Source organism: Homo sapiens, chromosome 8 (genome assembly GCF_000001405.40).
Source record: "Homo sapiens chromosome 8, GRCh38.p14 Primary Assembly".
Lineage (NCBI taxonomy): Eukaryota > Metazoa > Chordata > Mammalia > Primates > Hominidae > Homo > Homo sapiens.
This window is the reverse complement of record NC_000008.11, coordinates 28,690,162-28,713,003: the sequence shown is the minus strand read 5'-3', so window position 1 is coordinate 28,713,003 and position 22,842 is coordinate 28,690,162. Positions and strand designations below refer to the sequence as shown.

Sequence of the window (22,842 nt, the reverse complement as noted above, 5' to 3'; positions counted from 1 at the left end):
TTGACACTGAATGATGGGTACCCATGGGGGCTTATTATATCAGGCTCTCTTTTGTCTAAGTTTGAAATTTTTCATACCAAAAATTCTAAAAGATACTACATACAGAGTCTAAACAGAGGTTATTAAAAAGTCATTTGGAGACTGACTATAGTTAGTCTAATATTTCTAGTGCTACCAACTTACATATAAGCAGAGCTGAGGGCAGAAACAAATGTTCTCACAGAAACCAATAATTCAACAATGATTCAAAAGAATGCATCCCCACTAAATTCCCATCTCTTTTACTGGAGCCAGGCAAAAGCATCATCCATGTCCAATAGCATGAGCATTCCTTCCTAAACAGCTAATTAAATTATTTCAAGCACAAAAGAAAAAGGATACCCTCAGAATCTCTTCTGTCATTCTCTGGAAAATGACAATAAACATATCAGCCTCTAGAAATAAATGTCACTGAAACAATGATAAGGAGCCCTTCAGATTTTTTTTATTCCATATACAATGTACATGTCTAATTCATTCTCAGTCACCTGCCACAGCATTTCATGCTTAACTTGCCAGCTGGCCTCCATTCCTGCCCCTACAATGCACTCCATACACAGCAACCAGGACCATCGTGAAACATGAGTCAGGCCACGCCTCCCCTCTCAATATTTTCAAGGCTGCCCACTGTACTGCCGGGCTCCCCAGACCCATCTCAGTTACCATCGCTCTTCCCCTTGCTCTCTCAGCTTCAGCCACACTGGCCTCCTCTTACCTCCTCGACTGTGCCAAGCTTCTCGCTCTCAAAACTTTATGCCTGTTTTGTCTGAAATGTTCTTCCCCAGGCTTCTGCCTGGCAGACTCTTTCTCATCCTTCAGGCCTCAACTTTCCTGGCATTACCATTTAAAGTTGCCTTTCTTACCCCCCGATGCTCTCTGGCACCGACCCACTGATTTACTTCCTAATATCTTGTAATTTATTAATTCCCTCCCTTCCCCACCAAAGCCTAATCCTCGAGGGGAGGAACCCTTTGTGTTTGGATCACTGCTGCGTGGCCAGCACCCAGCCCAGTGTCCAGCACACTGTAAACACTCTATAAATATTTGTTAAATAAATGAATCCTATCACTGATCACTTCCTCATCCTACAAACTCTCAATTCTCCCCTGGACTTCCATGAAGCTGTGCTTTTTTAGTGTTCCATCTACTTCCCTGACTCATCCTCCCTTTCTGCTTTGCTGGGACCCAGTCCTCCTACCTCATACTGAAAGTGTTCCCCATGGCTCTCAACATAATGTTAATGAATCCATTAACAAATAATATATTGTATTGAATACATTATAAACTACAGAGAGAGAACTTCAGAGCCAGGAGGCAGCTGGATGGCCATATGGACCTGCAGCTAGACTACCCGGCTCAGGATGCAGCTCAGCCTTGAGAATTTGGGAATGTTACATAATCTCCCTGAGCTCATTTCCTCCTTTGTAAAGTGAGTCTGAAAATCTCTACCTACCGCCAGGGTTATTGCACAAATTAAGTAAGATATTATAGATGGAAGAAAAAAAAATGGGAACATGGCTAAAACAGTGCTAAGAGGAAAATTTATGCATAAATTCTTGCATTGAAGAAAAGTCTCGAATCAATAACCTATGCTCCTCCTTCAAGAACCCAGAAAAAAAACAAAACAAACCTAAAGAGCAGAAATCAACGAAATCGAAAACAGAAAAGCAGAAGAGAAAAATCAAGAAAACAAAGAGGTTTGTCACTGGTTTGAAAAACCTACAAGAATGACAAAGAAAAAAGGGAAAAGACACAAATTTCCAATAGCAGGAATGAAACAGGGGCTATCACCACAGTCCCTGCAGGCTACAAACAACTCTATACACTTCAGTGAAATAGACCAACTCCTTGGAAAACACAAAGTACCACAACTCATCCAATAGGGAATAATCTGAATTAGTTTTATAACTATTAAGTAAACTGACTTCATACTTTTGAAAATCCCAAAAAAGAAATCTCCAGCCCCAGATGGTTCACTGAAGAATTCTACTGAACATTTAAAGAAAAATAAACACCTACTCTACACTGTCTCTTCCAGAGGAAGGAACACTTCCCAGTTCATTTTATAAACCTAGCATTGCCCTGACTAAAGCCAGACAAAGACAGTACCAAAATAAAGAATACCACAAGCCAGGCGCTGCGGCTCATGCCTGTAATCACACCACTCCAGAAGGCTGAGGGGAGAGGATGACTTGAGACCAGCCCTGGCAACACAGTGAGACCCCATCTCTACCAAAAAAAAAAAAATTTAAATTAGCCAGGCATGGTCCCAGCTACTAGAGGCTGAGGTGGGAGGTGAGATCACACCTGGGTGACAGAGCAAGACCTTGCCTCAAAAAAAAAAAAAAAAAGAAAGAAAGAAAACTACAAAAAAAAAATCTCTCATGAATATAGACATAAAAATACTTAACACAATATTAGGGTAATCCTATCCAGAAGCATAAAAATTCTCCCCACTTACACCTTCATTTCTCCTATCAAAGTGTCTTGCGTTCTCACCCATGCTGTGCACCTCATATTAAGTCAGTCTGCATTTTACACTTCCTGCCCATGTCCTCTCCTGCTTCTCTTTCTCTGACCCCTTTTCACCACTCCCCAAATGTAGCTGTTCCTGCAGGCTTGTCCTCAACCTCTTTTCTGCCTTCACCTCCCAGAGCTTGCCAATGAGCTTCGCTTAGCCCCCTGATTGGCTGACTCTCAAATTTACTTTTCCCATCTTCACCTCCCTCCTGATAATCCTTTTTCCAGTGGTCAGCAACACAGACATCTACACCTCAGACGTTCAATGGCAGCAAGCACATCTTCTATGACTAGAACAGGATCATGACAGTGTCTTCTCCCAGGGGAAAAAAAATTAAAATAGTTGTATACAGAGATTTATCATTCAGATTGTGGCCAGCATTCTACCTTTTACTCTTTTCCCTAATCAGACATTTTTGCTGACAAATGCAAAGCAGAAGTCGCCATCTGCTAGCTCCTCATTGGAGGGCTGAACCAAGCAGTAGCCCTGGAAAGCTGTAATGTAATCACTCCATTCGAGAGTCTGAGCGGTGGGCTGAGAAGTCGGGGCTCAGAGTTCCAATCCAGAACTGTGCACGTGCTGGTGTTCCCCTTCACCTTCTCGCCCCTCCACCTCCACGTACCAGGGCCCTCCTCCTCTCACATCCCTTATCACAATAGCAAACTGCGATTATCTGCAGGAACATTACTCACGGCCTTGCTTTCAAGAGTTTGTTGATATAACAACCATCCTACAGACTCGACTTTTCTCCTTGTAAAACTAAAACACTGATATTGAAACTTCCCATTGCGGATCTGGGATATGTCTCTATTTAGGTCTTCTTTTGCATCTTTTAATAAAACTGTAAATTTTTTTATATGCAGAAAATTATCAGACTACTCCAAAAGAAAGAAAAAAAGTTAAACTACACTAAAACACTCACCCGGAGAGACAGGAGAGACAGGAGGCGCGACAGGGAAGAAGGGAGTCACTGCTCCATCTGGCTGTTATGCCTTCCACGTGGAAGGTATGAAGGGAGAACAGAGTGAGAAACAGAGAGAGAGGCTAGACGCTTTCCAGATGTTCCCAATGAAACCTTCAACGGCCTCTAATATCTTAAATAATTATGATAATAGCTAACAGGTATTGAATGCTTACTGTATGCCGGGTTAAACCTATTACCATATATTCCTCAACACACTCACTTAATCCTCACAGCAATCCCGTGAAGTGGGTTTACTGTTATTCCTGTTCTGTACACGAGGAAACCAAAGCACAGAGGCTAATGAGCCATGGGTCACCCATGTTATGTGGTAAAACTTGAATTCAAACCAAAGCAAGCTGGCTGTAAAGCTCATACCTTTAATGCCTTTATTATGTTACACTGTCTATATTAATTCAAGTAAGAGTGCGAGCAGGCACACACACACATGCCTATCATGTGTATCATTTTTACATTCTCCATATCACTGCTACTCCGCTGTAACCATGAATAATAATTACAATTGACACACATAATATTCCTCTAAAACCCAAAACCAACACTATATTCAAAGTATTTACCTGCTAAAGAGAATAGCAGACTCAGAACAAAAGATGTTTGCCACTGTGCCTATGGCCCACCTGTATATCTGTGCTTGTAGTACTATTTTCTCTTTTTCATTTAGGTCAAAATAGGCCCATCAAGTGGCAGAACTCCATGACAACCCAGGTGCGGGTTCTACAGAGCTGTCTGCATGCTGCTGTCATTGCTGCCATCACCAGGAGCCCTTCCAATTAGGTAAAGAGAGTTCTCCACAGGAAACCATTTCAGTGAGGTCACTGAAAGCAGTATTTCAGAGGATTGTTTTGTTTTTAAGTACTAACAACCCAAAAAAACATCATTTCCTGATTTCCTAACTACAGGCATGACAAACAGCCTGTCAAGGCAAGACAGTACCTAGTTCGTGAAGTCAGGAAGTATGTTAATAAGCACTAAAACACATTTCCCAACACTATCACTGATTTGTCTTCTGTTTAAAAAAAAAAAAAAAAAAAAGGCACTTCCCAGGGAAACTAATTGTAGATAAAGAGTAAGCTCTAAGAACTACATGTAGACACTTCCCAAGTTACAGGAGACCAAGGCCCTATGTTTTTCACAATCCAACGACCACAGTGGTTTCTTACTGTGTAACCTAGCCTGGATGAAAAAAGGGAAACAGAACATCCTCAGCAATTAAAAAGCAAAACGAAGTGTGAAAAACTGGTTGTGCCTTGACCTACTGACTGAAGAGTGAAGATTATGATGCAACCAGAGAACCAGAGTTTGAGCCGCCCTTATTACAGGGCTGTTTGAAAGGGAAAACAATTTATTCTTTGGGCTTAAGAGTAGGTTTCTAAATCCCAAGGTGTTCCACAAATGCCACTAGCAGACAAATCACAAAATACAAAAGGAACTCATCAATAAGTGGTGAGCATTCCTTCCGCTGCTGAATATATAGATATTAACAAGGAAAATGAGGCTATTGATTACTCCAAGTTATCTGTTTACTTGGCAACAAACCTGGGCCCAGAAGTCTCAACTCCCAGGATAAGTCCTCAATTTGAAAATTATGCCATTGCCTTATCTGCTTCCCTTCCCACCAGTTCGCTAATGTCCCACAAATCCAAATCGTATTGTTTTACCAGTCAGTTTAATTATGTGTAAAAATCAGATTCACCACTTAAGAATTTTTTCAAATAACAAACCGGGACCGTGCTACATTAACTAAATCAGAATTCCTAGGTGTGGGGGAAAACTCCTGCAGTTTGACAAAGTTCCCAGGTGATTTTAATGCAGAGCACACAACCCTAACTCCAAAACTATTGGTCTAATGAAGAATTGATAGTAATGGAGATTCAGATTGATGGCAGCTCAATCAACATAGACAGCTAAGGAAGACAAACAGCACTATCCCTTAGCTAACGCAGAAAGTCCGCACTTCAATGCACCACATACCCTTGGAAGATGGGGAGGAGAGGGCTTTTTCATAATTGCTACTGATTTATATTTACAGTGTGCTAGGCACAGTACTCTAGATAACACACTTCACACATACATTTCATCAGCCACATGGGAGTACTGTCATTTCCACTTCACCGATGAAGCAGTGGTGTATCACCAAGGATAGGAAACTTGTTCAAGGCAATACAGCAACCAAGTTACAAATCCAGGTCCGTATGACCTACAGCCCTGTATACTGCTTCTTGCTTATCTACCATTTGTTTACTTAGAGGATTCATTTTGTCTTAATTCATTTTACAATCATTATGTATTACTTTTGTAATTAAAAATATTACCTTGTTGCAATCTTTTTAAAGAACACCTCATTACATTTTTCAATAAATAATGTGACACATCTATTTGGGAAAAAAAATAAAGTCAGATTACTGCATGACAAACCAAATCCAAAAATAAGTTCCAGGTGGATTCAAGAGTTAATTATAATAAATGAACCGTAACAAGAAAAGGAAAATATACATGTAATCTCATCTCAAGTACAGCCACTTTTCCAGGAATCCAAGCAAAAGTAAAATCCAGAAATGTTCAACAGGTTTGACTATATAAGAATCAAATGATTCTATGTATTCAGAAGGAAAAAAAAAAAGCTTAAATTTGATTAAAAATGGGGAAGCCTGCTCAATATGACAGAATTAAAAGAAAGCAATCAACAGTGGTCAACGGACATAAATAAGAAGTTACACAAAAAAAGGGTTCAAGTGATAAACATGTTTATATGTTTAACCTTCCTAGCGATCAAAGAAATACACATTTCAAACAAGATACTGTGATATTTTCCACTAATAAATCATCAAAGTATTGTAAAATTATAATATCTGGTGCTAAGCAGGATCCAGGGTAAACATTCCCACACTTGGCTGCTGGGATTGCAAATTGGCACACCTTTCTGGAGCACAATTTGGCAGTAATAAAAACACTGAAACTGTGTCTATCCTCTTTCCCTGTAATTCTATCCGAGAAATTATTCTTAAAGAATCATGAGTGAGAAAAAAGATTTAACTTCCAAAATGCTCATACTAAAACATTAAAATAGTGATTAAAGTACAGTACAACTCTGAACTATGCTGGCTGCTACAATGTGGCAGGTACTCTTGTGTTAGTAGAAAGGTAAACTGAAAAGTAATTTGCCATTTGTAAGAAAAAAACCTTCAAAATTTTCTTATCTCTGATTCAGCAATTTCACTTTCTAGGAATATATTTTAGGTGAGCAAGATTTGTATGTAAAGATGCAATCACCTCATTATTCTTTATCATCTGTATAAAATATATAAATTAAATGTCCAAGACTAGGAGCAAGGTTAAACAAAGTGTGACTGTCACTGATATGACTATGATACCATTAGGAAGCTTTTCAATGGTTTTAAATAAAATGAAAACATGTTCACAATGTTAGCTGGAAAAATACAGATTCAAAGCCATATATGCAGTATAACATGTTTAAAATGCATATGTATATATTTCTGAATAGAAAAACAAACAGAAGCAAAAACACCAACAGAGGCACTTCTAGATTGTGAAATTATAGGTGATTTCTGCATTCTTCCTATCTTTCTCACTCTCCCTCCTAAAATGAGATGCGTCATTTTCATAAGGGCTGGGTAGCGATGTAGAAACAAGGTTTTCAAATAAGGTCTTCAGATGGATTTTGCTAACTTATTCTCAGAACAGTCAACTTAGTATGCAAGTGCCTAGAATATAAACTAATCTAACGGTTTTCGCTTCTCAAACATACATGATTTTTATTTTATGCTGTGGAGGCATACAATTGATATCGTTAGTGCCCTGGGCCTCCCTGAATGAGATAGAGAAAGTGAAGCAAGTTTGCTAAGCCATACATAAATCAGGTTTTTCCTTTTTTTTTTTTTTTAAGAGACAGGGTCTTACTATAATGTTGCTCAAGCTGGTCTTGAACTCCTGGACTCAAGGTGATCCTCTCACCTCCGCCTCCCAAAGTGCTGGGATTACAGGTGTGAGCCACCGTGCCCAGCCTTAAATCAGCTTATGACTCGGGCATTCTCCTTCACCCTTTGTGGGTGAATTCAGCTTGAGACGCTTTACCATCCCATCATCATTACCATATTTCTGATTCATCAGGTCCCCTAACTTCCCAATTCCTCGTTCTTGACTCATAAGCTCCTTGTCCTTTGTTAACTCGTAAATTAAGGGGTTAGACCGGATGACCTCAAAGATCCTTTTAGACTCTAGGCCCTCACTGACAATTGCCTTGCTCCCAGGAAGCACAAAAACATGTTTTGCTGTGGGGAAAATTTCACCACCCTACCTACTCAAGGCAGCAAGGCCATTCCCAAGACCTCCTTCTCGTTTCACCTCCAAGATTTCAGGCATAAGGCTTTAAGGCCCCCCTTAATTTTCCACAGACTCCATTAATAATTTGGGATCCCATCAACTATTTTCTCCATTCGAAGCCACTGTGCTTTTATATTTTACAGCTCTACTTCAGAAACAAAGGAAGCCGGATGCGGCGGCTCAAGCCTATATCCCAGCACTTTGGGAGGCTGAGGTGGGTGGAAGTTCAAGACCAGCCTGGCCAACTTGGTGAAACCCAGTCTCTACTGAAAATACAAAATTAGCCGGGTGTGGTGGCACACACCTGTAATGCCAGCTACTTGGGAGGTTGAGGCAGGAGAATTACTTGAACCTGGGAGGCGGAAGTTTGCAGTCACCTGAGATCATGCCATTGCACTCTAGCCTGGGCGAAAAGAGCGAGACGCCGTCTCAATAGAAAAATTGAAAAAAAAAAGAAAAAGAAAAGAAGCCATGCTGGAAAGAGTAGGTCAAAATTGCTGAAAAAACATTTAAAAGCAAGTTGGAAAAGAGACTTTAAAGGGAAAATGGTCAAAAAAGCAAACATCCAGGACGTTAACCATTAATATTATTGACCAGTCCAAAAGGTATTGGACACAGCCAAATGAAGGAATATACCAAAGGAAAGGCATGTGTGTGAGGGGTGGCACTCTAAGGCAGGCACCCGCAAGCGGCAGCTGCCTGCTTTTGTAGATAAAGTTTCACTGGAATACAGCTTTGCTCATTCAGTTATGGATTCCGTTTGTATGGCTGCGTATAGTAGGCATTCTTATATATTATGTATATGATGCTTTCACTCTCCAACAGATTCTACAGTTCATCTTCCTATGGCTCCACTTCTAGACTTTTGATGGGTCATTTGGGTGCATGTGAGTAGTATCCTACACTGCACTTTATGGCCTAACTGTGGGAGAGGGAAGTATGTTAGTAATGAGTCTCCCCAATCCTCTTCTATTTTCAAGATCACAGGTTTTTTAAATCCTGCTTCTCTTCTCCCTAGTAACATCACCCAAGAGGTCTGAATGACTGAAAATTTAAAAGGACTGTGCAACTGGTTCAGGCAAGAAAAGAAAAGATGAAGCTTACAGGTGAGCCCACCTCTGTCCCTCTTGAGCTCACAAACTCTCTCTGCCTGGGCTATGCTATTTCCATGAAACCTCCAAACGTGAAAAATCCTTTCTTCCCTCTCAGTCAGCTGCCCTATCATTGAAAGTCTTCGAAATGATAGTTGCCGAAATGAAGGGGTAACAAAAATAAAATAGAAATATGTTAATAGAAGTTTTCTGAGCTAAACTTAATAACCAGCGAATGGAGTAGGCAGTTTTAGGACGTTATGAAACGTCCTGGTTTCATATTCCTCGCCTCACTCTAGAGTAACATACAAAGGCGCTCGAACCTTTACCAAGAGTAGGTCTGATGGGACTTCATTTTTCTCCTAACACCTGAGTCTACATCAGGGAATCCCTCCCACCCTCCTCCAGAAGACCACCAGTCTCAACTGAGACAAGGACTCCGCATCACTCCTGCAGCCCCTCATCACCCATAACCCTCCAATCCACAGCTGGCCTAGGGCCCTGCGGAAAAGAACAGGTCTCTCTCTAGTCTTCTGCTGGCTTCAAACCACCCTCTGGACTTGCCCTCTCTCCTAGAAATACATTTCCCATGCTCGGCCTGGCCCGACTTACTTCTCTCCAAACTGTTCCCTTAAAATCTTTTTACTCCGAGGTCAAAACTCTTGAGGCCTAATCACTGAAAGATCCCAACTACACACCAAGTATTAACAGGGTTTTCCCCCACTAGAAAAGCGAGAAGTGGAGGGATACAGACATACGCCTGTCAATCATTTTTTAGGTAGGTATGCCCCTCACATCTCTGGACATTAAGCACGTTTCCGGAAGTCTGAAGAGCCACAATTCTGACTCTTCCAGAAAGCACTTAGGCTCGATTCTCTCTTGCTCGTGAGTTCTTATGATTCCTCCGGCTCCCCACAAGCAAACGAATGGGAAATTCCCACAGGATAAGGTATTTTTAACACATCAAATAACAGTTTAAGAAAACGGTTTTTCTTTCATCACAAAATATTTCAAAGTCCCTCTGCTAAATAGCAAGTCGCTGAGAAGGCTTCGCTTCGCTCCAGACTCTGTGCCCCGCAGTTACTATCCCAGCACACAGGTCACAGCGATAGTCACTGTATCAGAATGCAGGACTCACTGCCGAACAAAATACAGAAAACTGCAGAGTCTGCATGGCTGCAACACACAAAGCCTTTAAAAACAAAAGAAAGCACGGGGAGCTCTGCCAGTAAAAATGAAGCTACCTAAATTGGACAAAGAATAGGACAAAGTGACAAGAAATGCTAAAGACGACTCTTAAGTAAATCACATATGGGGGAAATAATGGACATGTTGTGGTGTTCTGCGCTTCCTCCTCCACCAAAGGAGTCGAACCAAGAGGACTTGATGAAGCTTTTAGAGTTTTTAAAAAGGGAAGAAAAATCCAGGTTGCGGGGAAGGGCGGGGGTGGGGTGGTGCGGGTGGCGGGGGAGGGGCAAAATCCACAAAATTTAAGTCTTCTGAGAGCCAAACAGATTTTATTAATAAAAGGAGCCGAAGCTCTCGCTCAATGTGGGGAAGAGAAAGCAGCACCCATCAGCAGCCGGGCAGCCCTGGCTCGCCTCCGAGGGGCTCGGAATAGGTGCTGTCCCCGTCGCTGGGCTCGGAGCTCCGCCGCGCACACACGCCCCGCGCACCCCTGTCCGGTCCAGCCCGTGCAGCGCGAGGCCGGCTCTAGGGGAGCTGGGCCTGGGAGCCAGGGTCCTGCAGCACCTGGACCCTCGGACAGGAAGCGGCTCCTCTGACTGTGGCTCCTGAAAGGAGGCGAGCCCGGCAAAAAGAGCCAGCGGGGAGGGCAGCAGGCGACTGCGTGTAGAAGCGGGGGGCAGATGTGGGAAGGTGTGCTCGGGAAGGGGTGGGGGTAGTCCGGAGCTGCGCCTCCGCCGACAGAAGATGCTCCGGGCCAGCAGCCAGAGAAACGCCGCGGGTCACAGAGGGTGGAGGGCTTCAGGGAGCAGAGGAAGCCCAACAGCTGCAGCCGAGCGTCCAAAAAAAGGTGGAGGCGGGTCCCGAGCAGCCCAAACTGGGACGAGAGAGGGCGTGTGGGGGCGGGGAGGGGGTGCCCCAGCCCAGGGACCCGTTAGCCCTCCCGGCTGCCGGCCGAGGGCCTGGCGGCCTCTCCCCGGGCCCCCGAGCCACCGGGCAGGCCTACTCCGCTCGGAGGCTGCATGCCTCCCGCCGCCGGGCAGCAGCAGCCTCCCCGGGGCACGGCGGACCCGGTCCCTCCCGCCGCGTCCCCAGCGCTCGGGGCCAGCCCCGGCACCCTCCCATGAGCCCTTCCGGGCGCGGCCCCCGCTCCTCGGGCTCACGCGCGGCCAGCAGTCCTACCGGCTTCCAGCTCAGGGACCCGCCGCCGCCGCCGCCGCCGCCTGCGCGAAAGTCGGCGTCCCAGAAGCCGTTCTGGCTGCCGGCCGCCCGCCTTCCAGGCCGCGCCTGATCCGCCGCTCCCCCTGCCGGCCGGCAGCCATTTCCGACAGGCGACTGCGGAACTTGCCGAAGGGCGCCGCGCCGGAAATGGCCGAAGCCGGCGTTCGCGAGCGGGGGCGCGGACGCGGGCGCGCGCTCGCCACTTTCCCGACCGCGTCCGAAGACCGCCGAGGCCTCCCGCAGCTCCGCGGTGACACCCGGGTCAGGGGCGCGGGGCCGGGCGCCGGGGATTGTGGGAGGCGCGGGGGGGCGCGCCGGCCGCCTTCGGAGCCCCCCAACTCGCGTCCTGCAAAGGCCGCCGGGCCCTGTCGAGAAGACCCGACCGCAGATGGCGGGGAGGATGCTCCCGGCGGCGTGGGAACCGGGTCTGACTCCCGAGCCACCGCCGCTTCCGCAGGGGCGCCGGCCCCGGGAAAGTCAAGTCATAAATCCCTGAATCTAAAACTCCATTCTCAGAGAAAAGGCCTCCAAGGACGGGCGCCGTGCGCGGCAACTGCCTGCAGTTTTGAAGCCCTTTGACTATTTCATAACAAAGACAAGGCCGGGCGGCTTGGACGCTTAGGAAAATCCTGGGGCTTTGCAAAAACAACAGGTTAATCTAGTCGTGTGGGATGATCACCAAAACAAGACAGGAAAGAAGAACACCGTGTCAATGCTGAAAAGCCAGCCCCTGTGAGCCCCAAAGTGCACGTTTTCCACAGTCCCAAGGAACACGTGACTGTGTGTTTCCACACTTGAGAAGTCAGGATAAGACCCCTTGGATAATGGAACAGGGGATGGGGGTGGGAGCAAGCACCCTACCTGGTCACCTGCTTAACTTAGAAACCAGCTTTTAAAACCTGTAACTGCAGTATGAGCTACGATCAAATTTGTCTTAACGTATTTTTTTTAATGTTTTTAATACCCAGAACACAGGGCTTCTACTCCAGGGTTTCCTCGCCAGGGAACCCCAAACACACAGGACCTGGAGAAGCCGGGTAGAGCTGGCTCCTGGCCCTGCGCTTGGGTGGTCGGCTGCCTTAAGAAGAACTGCACCCCAGAGACAGGCTCGCAGCTGCCGACCTTATCCACTCGCCCTTTCTGCTGGAGCCCAGGCCCAGTGCTCCAGCAAGGAGGCTGAGAAAATGCTGAAGACTGATGCCCACGGGGGACAGCTTGGGCTAAGGATAACGTTTGCAAAACAAACCTTTAAAAACCCATAGCAACCTGTTTCCTAGAGCACACTCTTCATCTCTCCACCCCCAAACTAGTCCCGACTCGGATCCTCCTTTTCCTATCCTCTTTCTCTTGCTCTCCCGTCTCCTATTCACTTTTCTTCTCCTTTCCTCTTGATTATTATAAACAAATGCTTTCCAAGTCTTACCGCCATCATATGTGTACATATGCAACCCTTACTGTTACCAATTTGTTGAAGTCAAGACAGGAGGAGGCAAAGTTTAAAAATCAGAAGTATTGCAGGAAATGAAAATGGAGTGAGTGTTGCCTGGGTATCATAATTTTTTTTTTTTTTTTAACAGTTCCTCTACTTGGCTCTCCTCCAAAGGTACGCGGCCACAGCAGGCAGGGGCTTGGCAGTGTGGGAGGAGACACCACAGAAGACAGGGAAGAACTACCAGGCCTTGGTTCATCTCCACACTGGCGAGAGAGGACGTGCAGTTACCTGCTACCTGTTCGACTCAGTCTTTTACGTTGGAGTAACTTAACACATTGCTGCCCTTAACTTTGACTTACTTGCTTTTAAAGATGATGAAGCTGGCCAGGCGCCGTGACTCATACCTATAATCCCAGCATTTTGGGAGGCCCAGGCAGGTGGATCACGAGGTCAGCAGTTCAAGACCAGCCTGGCCAACATGGTGAAACCCTGTCTCTACCAAAAATACAAAAATTAGCTGGGCGTGGTGGCGCGTGCCTATAATCCCAGCTACTCAGGAGGCTGAGGCAGGAGAATCACTTGAACCCGGGAGGCAGAGGTTGCAGGGAGCCGAGATCGCACCACTGCACTCCAGCCTGGGCAATAGAGCAAGTCTCCATCTAGGGAACAACAACAACAAAAAGATTATGAAGCCTTAGGAAGAACAGGGATATTCACCTGCTGCTGAGCCCCCCTCCGCTTTGATCTTGTGAGTCTGCACTCTCCTGCTCCCCTGTCTCAGTCTCCTCTAGCTCCTGTTCCTTCTCCTACCTTGTGTTCTCTGCCAATGATATGACTGGGGCTACTTTCTTTTTTCCTTCTCACACTCTCTTCTTGCTAATTTCAACCAATTTCCCTGCATCATCTCCACCTGCAAGCTGGTCCTTTACAGCAGAGCTTGGGGCCCTGCTGCCCAGTAGCACTCTGGACACCCTCACATCATCATCATCATCCTATTTTTATTTATTTTTTGGAAACAGGGTCTTGCTCTGTCGCCCACACTGGAGTGTAGTAGTGCAGTAGTGCGATCACGGCTCACTGCAGCCCCGATGTCCCTGGGCTCAGATGTTCCTCCCGCCTCAGCCTCTGGAATAACTGGGACCATAGATCCCTTCCACTGTGCCTAATTTTTGTTTTTTGTTTTTGTTTTTGTTTTGAGACGGAGTCTCACTCTTCTTGCCCAGGCTGGAGTGCAGTGGCATGATCTCGACTCTCTGCAAACTCTGCCTCCCGGGTTCAAGTGATCTCCTGCCCCACCCTCCCGAGTAACTGGGATTACAGGCACGCACTACTGTGCCCAGCTAATTTTTGTATTTTTAGTAGAGACAGGGTTTCACCATGTTGGCCAGGCTGGTCTCAAACTCCTGACCTCAAGTGATCCGCCCACCTCGGCCTCCCAAAGTGCTGGGATTACAGGCATGAGCCACCACGCCCGGCCTAATTTTTGTTTTGTTTTGTTTTTTTGTAGAGACGGGGTTTCAACCATGTTGACCAGGCTGGTCTCAAATTCCTGAGCTTAAGCAATCAGCCTGTCTTGGCCTCCCAAAGTGCTAGGATACAGGCGTGAGCCACCACGCGGGGCCTTCATCACCCTATTAATATATACTTTCTGATACTTAATTGCCAGGCAATAAGCTAAACCCTTTTATTCACTGTCTCACTTTAATCCTTACAGGGAAGTATCGGCTGCCAGATAGGGAGCTGAGACTTCAAGAAGCTAAATAAGGTGTCCAACACCACAGAGCATGGAGCAAAGGACACGGGACTGCAAATCTTCCTAACTCGTGTGCTCATCTGGCTATCTCACCAGGGCCTTAAATTTAATATATCCCAAACTGAACTCATCTTTACCCCTTCCCACTTTGCACTCCTCAAATGTCCTTGTTTAAAATAGTTACCTTTATCTTTCCTAACCCAGAAACTCAAAACCTGGCATCATCTTTGACTTCTCTCTTTACCTTCACATTCAACAGTTTCCAAGACTTAAAGGCTTTATTTGTAGGATCTCTACCACTGATCCTCTACAGTTTCACACCTACATCCCATTCTCGTTCCCAAATCCCCATAACTCCTCTCCTGGCCCATCCCTTAACACTGAAATCCTGGCTTGGAAAATATGGTCACATTCACAGCAGCTGTCCCCAAGAAGGAAGCCAAGGCAACAGTATGCACAATGAAGTGAGTCTTCACTGATCTCTCCATATTTTGACATTTTACAGCACTTATTATCTCTACTTTGTATTTTGAAACTGAATCCAAAATAGTTTTGCATTTGTTGTTTAACAGTCATGTATGTAGTTTTTTTTTTTTTTTCTTTTTTTTTGGAGACAGAGTCTGGCTCTGTCACCCAGGCTGGAGTGCAGTGGCGTGATTTTGGCTCACTGCAACCTCCGCCTTCTGGGTTCAAGCAGTTCTCGTGCCTCCCTGAGCAGCTGGGAATACAAGCATACACCACCATGCCCAGCTAATTTATTTTTAGTAGAGATGGGATTTCACCATGTTGCCCAGGCTGATCTTGAACTCCTGAGGTCAGGCAATCTGCCCACCTCAGCCTCCCAAAGTGCTGGGATTACAGGCATCAGCCACCACACCCAGCCCCTCCATGTGTGTAGATATTTATCCACATCCAAAAATTAGGAAAAGCAGGACGCATTGAACCTTTGGTACCCAGCAGCAGGAGCCTGTGGGTCTTCTGTCTGGAGCACAATCACAAGGACCGAGCATCAGCAGCATCCACTGTCCTTTCAGCTCCAAATTTTAAACTCCCGTAAGAGAGACATTATTGGCCCAGCTTGGGTCGTGTGTCCACCCCTTTAATCAATCAGCTTTGGCCAAGCAGCAGGTCATCCTGGTCCAAACATCACAGTTGGGGGCCTCACTTGTAAATAGAGCTTGTTCCCAAAAAAGAGGGAGGCACACACCATTCATTTGTTTATTCATTCATTCAATCAGCAAATAGTTGAGCATCTATAGAAATATATTTAAGGTTCTATTATGTACACAAAATGTATAAAACATGGCCCTGCCCTCACACCATGAAAGTTACCACATAAAAAGAAGTCACCAGATAAAAAAAGCATAACAGTATTCATAAGTACTCATGAGTGACCATCAATTCAGTTACACATGATGGAAGATAATTCATTATACCTAGTATAAGCCAGTGACGGTAAAAATAGTTAGCAGCAATGTGTACATGATCAACAAAAGCTCACAGCAGCACCATTTACACAAAAACAGAAAAGTACCCAGATGTCCATCAGAGGTAGACCAGATAAAATATAAAATATACCACCACACAATGGCTAACACCTGTAATCCCAGCACTTTGGGAGGCTGAGGCCGGCAGATCACTTGAGGTCAGGAGTTTGAGACCAGCCTGATCAACATGGTGAAACCCCGTCTCTACTAAAAATACAAAAATTAACCAGTTGTCATGGCATGTGCCTGTAATCCCAGCTACTCAGGAGGCCGAGGCAAGAGAATCGCTTGAACCTGGGAGGCCAAGGTTGCAGTGAGCCGAGATCACACCACTGCACTCCAGCCTGGGTAAAAAAGCGAGATTCCATCTCGAAAAAAAAAAAGTGTATATGTATAGTGTATGCATGCACAGAATACTTTACAGCAATAAGAATGAGTGTTCTGCAAATATACACAATATTGCTGACTCTCCCAATGTTAAACAAAAGCATCCAGACACACAACAATGTGTACAGTATATGATTCCATTGATAGAAAGCTTAAAAACAGGCAAAATTAATTCACCCTTATGGAGTCTTAAGTAAGGGGAACAAAAGGGGCCATCTGGGCAGTGATAATGCTGTTTCTTGAGCTGGGTGCTGGGTTCACAGGTGTGTTCAGTTTGTCACATTCATCAAGCTTACACTTCTCATACATCTTCTTTTCTATATGTATGTCATCCTTCAATAAAAAGTTTTTAAAAAATAAATAATTGGGCTTGTGTGGTGGGCTCACACCTGTAATCCTAGCACTTTGGGAGGCTGATGTGGGAGAAGCACTTGAGTCCAGGAGTTTGACCAGCCTGGGCAACACAGGAAGACCCTGTCTCCACAAAAAATTTTTAAAAGCCTGGCATGGTGGCACACTTAGGTGGGTAAGGTGGGAGGATCGCTTGAGCCAGGAGGTTGAGGCTGCAGTGAGCCGTGATCGCACCACTGCACTCCAGCCTGAGTGACAAAGCGAGACCATGTCTTAAAAAAATAAAAATAAATAATTGGCACTCAAAGTAAGACACCTTTAATCTCCCTTGAACATCAGCACCATGATTATCCTGGAGTTGCCAATTATTCCCACACTCCCCACCTCCTCCCCATCACCACCACCATTATGCCCCCTTCTTAGACACATAAGACACTGGAGCCTTTGGAAGGAGCCACTATATTTACCGCATGACCTCCTTCCCTCTGGTCCCAGCCTACTGGACTTCTTACCTGGAATTGTGGGAACAGGTCACTGTAACTAAGTCACGTGACAGAGTGCTTGATCTATTAATTTACACATATTTGCAAGAAAGAATTTCTGGGCATGTGCACAGTGATAAGCTCAGAAAGCTGGTCTGCAGAAAACAGAAGCAAATAGAGTCAGCATAGAGAGGGAAACAAACAAACCCACCAGAGATGGAGAAGCCTCAGAGGCTGTTGACATTGACCTGTGGTACCCACATGTCCCAGGTGACACTGGGTGTCCACGTGATTGCTTATGTAGCCTTACTATTTAAAAAATCCTCATAATCCCAGCACTTTAGGAGGCCGAGGCGGGTGTATCACAAGGTCAGGAGTTCAAGACCAGCCTGACCAACATGGTGAAACCCCATCTCTACTAAAAATACAAAAATTAGCCGGGCATGGTGGTGGGTGCCTGTAATCCCAGCTACTCGGGAGGCTGAGGCAGAGAATCACTTGAACCCAGGAGGCAGAGGTTGCAGTGAGCCAAGATGCCGCCACTGCACTGTAGCCTGAGTGACAAGAGCAAAACTCCGCCTCAAAAAAAAAAAAAAAAATCCTCATTTACTTAAACTAACATGAATACGTTTCTGTCTCCGGCCACCAAACATGACCCTGCATGTTCTTCCCTGGAAGAAACTAAGTAGTTATTTTGTTTGTTTGTTTATTTGGAGACAGAGTCTTACTCTGCCACCCAGGCTGAAGTGCAGTGGCGTGATCTCAGCTCAGTTTTGGCAACCTCTGCCTCCTGGGTTCAAGAAATTCTCCTGCTTCAGCCTCCCGAGTAGCTGGATTACAGGCATGTGCCACCACGCCCAGCTAGTTTTTTGTATTTTTAGTAGAAATGGGGTTTCGCCAGGTTGCCCAGTCTGGTCTCGAACTCCTGAGCTCAGGCAACCTGCCTGCTTTGGCCTCCCAAAGTGCTGGGATTACAGGTGTGAGCCACTGTGCCCAGCCCCTTAGTTATTTCAGAGCCAGACTCTTAAGCACTTTGCATGTGTCATCCCATGTGCTCCTTTAACGACCCTAAACAATAAGGACCATTATTAGTCCTTTGTCACAAATGAGAAAAATGAAGCCCAGGGAGGTTAACTAATTTGCCTAAATCACCAGCCTAGTAAGTGGTGGTGCCAGGTTTTGGACCCTGACAGTCTAACTCCAGAGCCTGAAACTTTACCAGCTGTGCTCCGCTGTGGTGCAAGAGAAATGCTGACCATGGCGATGTGAATTGTCTGCTGCATTAGTAGATTTAACAAAGGCATTTGATTTGTTAAATGAGTTCAAATGTAGAAATGATACAAAAGATCGGCTGTCTAGAGAAGCTGGTGCACACATTTCTTTCACAAGGGAATTATCGTTTGAGGTATACAAGCCAGAGAAATGTAAACTGCATAGAGTGTGACAGATATGCCAAACAAGTCTGTGTTCTCTTACCAATAAATTAGTTTACAGATTTCAGCAAATGCTCTCTTGGGGGCCCCCACTGATTGCTTATTTTTCCCCACGTGTTTAATATCCAGGAGAAGGGGATTTGAGTCCCACAGAAGGAGAAACTGGTGATAACAGTTACTTCAAGTCTCAGAGAGGGAGGTGCCTCATTTTCCATGTTAATGGCTGCCAGCCCCACAATCCACTCAGCAAGCCTTCTAGATCAATCCCAAACAAGCCATTGGTGACCCCCAGCAATCTTCAAAGGGAATTATCAGTGAGGTTAAGTCAGATAAGAACTTAGTCTATTTGTAAGGCTTTGATTTTAAAAGAAAGTGCTGACAGCCACTATTCAAGATCTTTTCTATATATAAATGACTGAGCAATTTTGTGGCTTATAATTAGAACAATGCATGACAATTTCTAGATTGAGGTTCCAAGGTTACTCTTCTCTTTGGTCTATCAGTGCCAAAAAGCCAAAAGGTCATCTTCTAAGGCTCCAGGGATAGCACTCATTACCCTGATAAATGGCTCACTCTAGAAGTCCTGGCTTTGATGTTACCTTTTAAAAGTGGCTGGTTTTTGTCTGGCCAAAGGTGGGGCCATTTGGGTGGCTCACAGATAATTTGTGGCAACACTGAGTTAATATCAGTTTCAAGACAAAACACATTTTATTGTTAAGAAACTATTTGTTAACTCATTACCTCATGTCATAGTATTCTCTGCCTTGCCATGTGGCTATAAAAAAAAAAATAAACATTCAAGTTTCACATTAGAAAGCTTAGCCTGATTCAAATCTGTTTTCTGTGGCTGGGCACTGTGGCTCATGCCTATAATCCCAGCACTTTTGGGAGGCAGAGGTGGGGGGATCACCTGAAGTCAGGAGTTTGAGACCACACTGGCCAACATGGCAAAAACCCACCTCTACTGAAAATACAAAAATTATCCTGGTGTGGTGGCGGGCGCCTGTAATCCCAGCTACTTAGGAGCCTGAGGCAGGAGAATTGCTTGAACCTGGGAGGCGGAGGGTGCTGTGAGCCGAGATTATGCCATTGCACTCCAGCCTGGGTGACAGAGCAAGACTCCATCTCAAAAAAAAAAAAAAAAAAATCTGTTATCTGCATAAGACACCTAACCTGTAATGACCAATTAAGACTCAAATTAGCTAGCGCCAACAGCGGGTATCAAAATGCCATCAAAATTTTCTAAGCTTGCACCTACAAATGTTCCCTAAGGCAAGCATAAAGGCATCTAACATTTACCCTAAATTATGCCAGTGAGTAGCAAAAATGTGCTCAGTTAGACGCAACATGTCACAACATGGTCTGACTGTTGGAAGAACTTAGTGCAGGGAGAGCTATACCCAGAGGAAAGAAGTAAAATTAGGCAGAGTGTTGATGGCTGAGTTCCAGTGTCACATTTATATACAGCTCAATGACTCTAGAATTGTCCTTACACCAAAAAAAAGTTATTCATAGATTCAAAAAATCAACTGCTCACTACTTTCATTTAAAAATGCCTTGTGTGAACAAGGCGTTCCAACTGAAAACTGGCAGAATTCATAGAGGTTCTTAAAGAACATCAATTAGATTCTTAGTCAACCAATTTGGCTGTAAAATCAAAACTGAAAGTGCAATTTCCAAAACTAATTATGCTAAATACTTTTAAATATATATAACTTGATAATAACATTTGGACTTTATGTATGGAAAGAAACAGTAGTTTCCACCACAGGAATTTTCAAAAGAAAAATATATAGGTTTTAAACCAATTTATGAAGATCTGCAATAAGATTTTATTGAAGAGAAAGTTTTCCCCTATTTTCCTAAATATTACTCAAAATTAATTCTCAACCCAAAAGGTGACAGCATGATTCTAGTAGGGTCCAAGTCAATCCCAGAACACAATAATAATTGATCCCTTCCCCAACCCAAGCCTTCAGCCTTGCAAACACTATGCCATAGATCAAAAGTGGAACCAAATGAAAATGTGACCATATTTCTACAAATCCATCAATTTGGAGGGCAAAAAACCAACAATCCAAAGCCCATCTCTAATGGACAGTGTTAGATATTTCACCCTCATGTCAAAAGAAACATGTATAATTACATCATCTAGGTTACTAAGAAAAGCATATCTTTAAAGTGAAGAGGTATTTAGAAAAAGGATACTTGACATAAATGATGCAAATACTCAAAAAATATATTAAATATCTGTGAAATGTGTTAACTATGAAAGCTTTTTAAAAGCACATGCTGAGCCTTGTCTTACTTTCGTGTACATTTAACCAGGCTTCAATAATGCTCTATTTATCTTTATTTCATTAATTAAATAATAAATATCTAAATTTTTTTATTTTTTGAGACGGAGTTTCGCTGTTGCCCCCCAGGCTGGAGTGCAACAGTGTGATCTCGGCACACCACAACTTCTGCCTCCCGGGTTCAAGTGATTCTCCTGCCTCAGCCTCCCGAGTAGCTGGGATTACAGGCTCGCGCCACCACGCCTGGCTAATTTTGTATTTTTAGTAGAGATGGGGCTTCTCCATGTTGGTCAGGCTGGTCTCGAACTCCCGACCTCAGGTGATCCACCCACCTCAGCCTCCCAAAGTGCTGGGATTACAGGCGTGAGCCACCGTGCCCGGCCAACATCTACATATTAGTAGGAACACAATAGCAAAAAAAAAAAATCACAAAAACTGATAAATATTTACCAACTCTGTGGCTTCCTTCCAGCTCATGAGCATAATTTTATAAAATTGCTATCTCTATGTGTCAACCATTTCAAGTCCTTCTTTTTCACTTACTTTGAATGAAGTATTATGTTTCTACATGATCTTCACAGTCATCTTGAAAGTTACTGGAGCATCCTATGGTCTAGCTCAGTGATTCCTGAATAACAGTTTATTGACCAAGCTAGGATGAAGTTTTCATCAGTCCACAGTTAAATGCGAAAAGCACAGACAAGTTTGTGAGTTTTTAACAAAGCTGAATGATTCAATTGAAAGGATTAGACTTTATTCTGAGATTATGTTATTCTCCCTTTTTTATGTTAAAATGTGTTTTTATGAAATGACCATGGTGGTGGTCAACGGCAGCTTTTTCTGTATCTTTCTCACTCAACAAAACACTGAAATATACTAATTTTGGTATCCCCTACCCAGTTATTTTTTATTTTACTGGTCTATTAAACCTAAAAGTCTGGTAACTATAATACCAGTCTAGCCTGTCTAACAACACACATATATATTAAGGCATACACTTCCCCCCAACTTCACCCCTGCAATACAGAATGTTTTTGGAGACTCCCATGGCAGCCAGCCTCTGAAAGGGCCCCCAATGATCCCTGCCCCCTGGTATTCACACAGTTGTGAAGTCTCCACCCACACCCTAACTAGGATCCATCTGTGTGGCCAATGGAACACAGCAAAAGTGAAGGTATGTCACTCCCAGGATTAAACGACACAAGGCATTTCAGCTTCCATCTTGGTTGCTTTCTCCTTCTTAGATCACTCTGGGAGAAACTCACTGCCATGTTGTGACAACACTATGGAGACGCCCAGGTGAGGGACTGAGGCTTCCTGCCAACAGCCACATGAATAAGATTGGGAACAGATCCTCCAGCCCCAGTCAAGCCTTCAGATGACTGCAGTCTCATGAAAGACCCTGTGCCAAAACCACCCAGCTTGATGAAATAATCTGTACAACAAACCCCCATGACACAAGTTTACTACAACAAACCTGCACATGTACCCCTGAACTTAAAAGTTAAAACAAAACCACCACCACCACCACCACCACCCAGAAAAAACACCCAGCTAAGCCACTTCTGAATTCCTAACCTACAGAAACTATGAAATAATAAATATTTGTATTTTCAAAATTAGCTGGGTGTGGTGCCATGTGCTTATAATCCCAGCTACTTGAGAGGCTGAGGCATGAGAATCACTTGAACCTGAGAGGCAGAGGTTGCAGTGAGCCAAGATTGTGCCACTGCAATCCAGCCTGGGCAGCAGAGCGAGACTCTCTCAAAAAAAAGAAAAAAGAAAGAAAGAGAGAAGAAAAATTAAAATTAATGTGTAGAATATTTTTTAAATTAAA

The 22,842-nt window shown here is 44.4% G+C and overlaps 1 protein-coding gene and 1 long non-coding RNA gene across 14 annotated transcripts in view, besides 3 other annotated features; one reads left to right on the top strand and one right to left on the bottom strand.

Moving 5' to 3' along the window:
• The window catches only part of EXTL3 (exostosin like glycosyltransferase 3), a 148,827-nt gene that overhangs the window by 43,559 nt on the left and 82,426 nt on the right, over nucleotides 1-22,842 (bottom strand). For 4 of the 13 annotated variants that reach the window (NR_073468.2, NR_073469.2, NM_001437797.1 and 1 more), the window contains exon 1: nucleotides 11,345-11,503. The exons of 8 other annotated variants lie outside the window; for them this stretch is intronic. The gene's annotated coding sequence lies outside the window, so the exon portion shown is untranslated. Of the gene's footprint in view, nucleotides 1-754; nucleotides 11,040-11,344; nucleotides 11,504-22,842 lie in introns of those variants that run through there. One more of the 13 variants, XM_047421517.1, reaches the window with a different exon arrangement.
• Nucleotides 10,935-11,344: a silencer, noted in NCBI's record as "silent region_19064". NCBI's record gives its function as "represses an Ori minimal core promoter by ATAC-STARR-seq in GM12878 lymphoblastoid cells {active_cell/tissue: GM12878}" and the evidence as "EXISTENCE:reporter gene assay evidence [ECO:0000049][PMID:35858748]".
• Nucleotides 11,445-11,514: a silencer, noted in NCBI's record as "silent region_19063". NCBI's record gives its function as "represses an Ori minimal core promoter by ATAC-STARR-seq in GM12878 lymphoblastoid cells {active_cell/tissue: GM12878}" and the evidence as "EXISTENCE:reporter gene assay evidence [ECO:0000049][PMID:35858748]".
• EXTL3-AS1 (EXTL3 antisense RNA 1) lies at nucleotides 11,540-14,601 on the top strand. Its single transcript, NR_126027.1, has 3 exons — nucleotides 11,540-11,644; nucleotides 12,961-13,563; nucleotides 14,530-14,601. It is a non-coding gene; the product is annotated as an EXTL3 antisense RNA 1 (long non-coding RNA).
• Nucleotides 11,585-11,764: a silencer, noted in NCBI's record as "silent region_19062". NCBI's record gives its function as "represses an Ori minimal core promoter by ATAC-STARR-seq in GM12878 lymphoblastoid cells {active_cell/tissue: GM12878}" and the evidence as "EXISTENCE:reporter gene assay evidence [ECO:0000049][PMID:35858748]".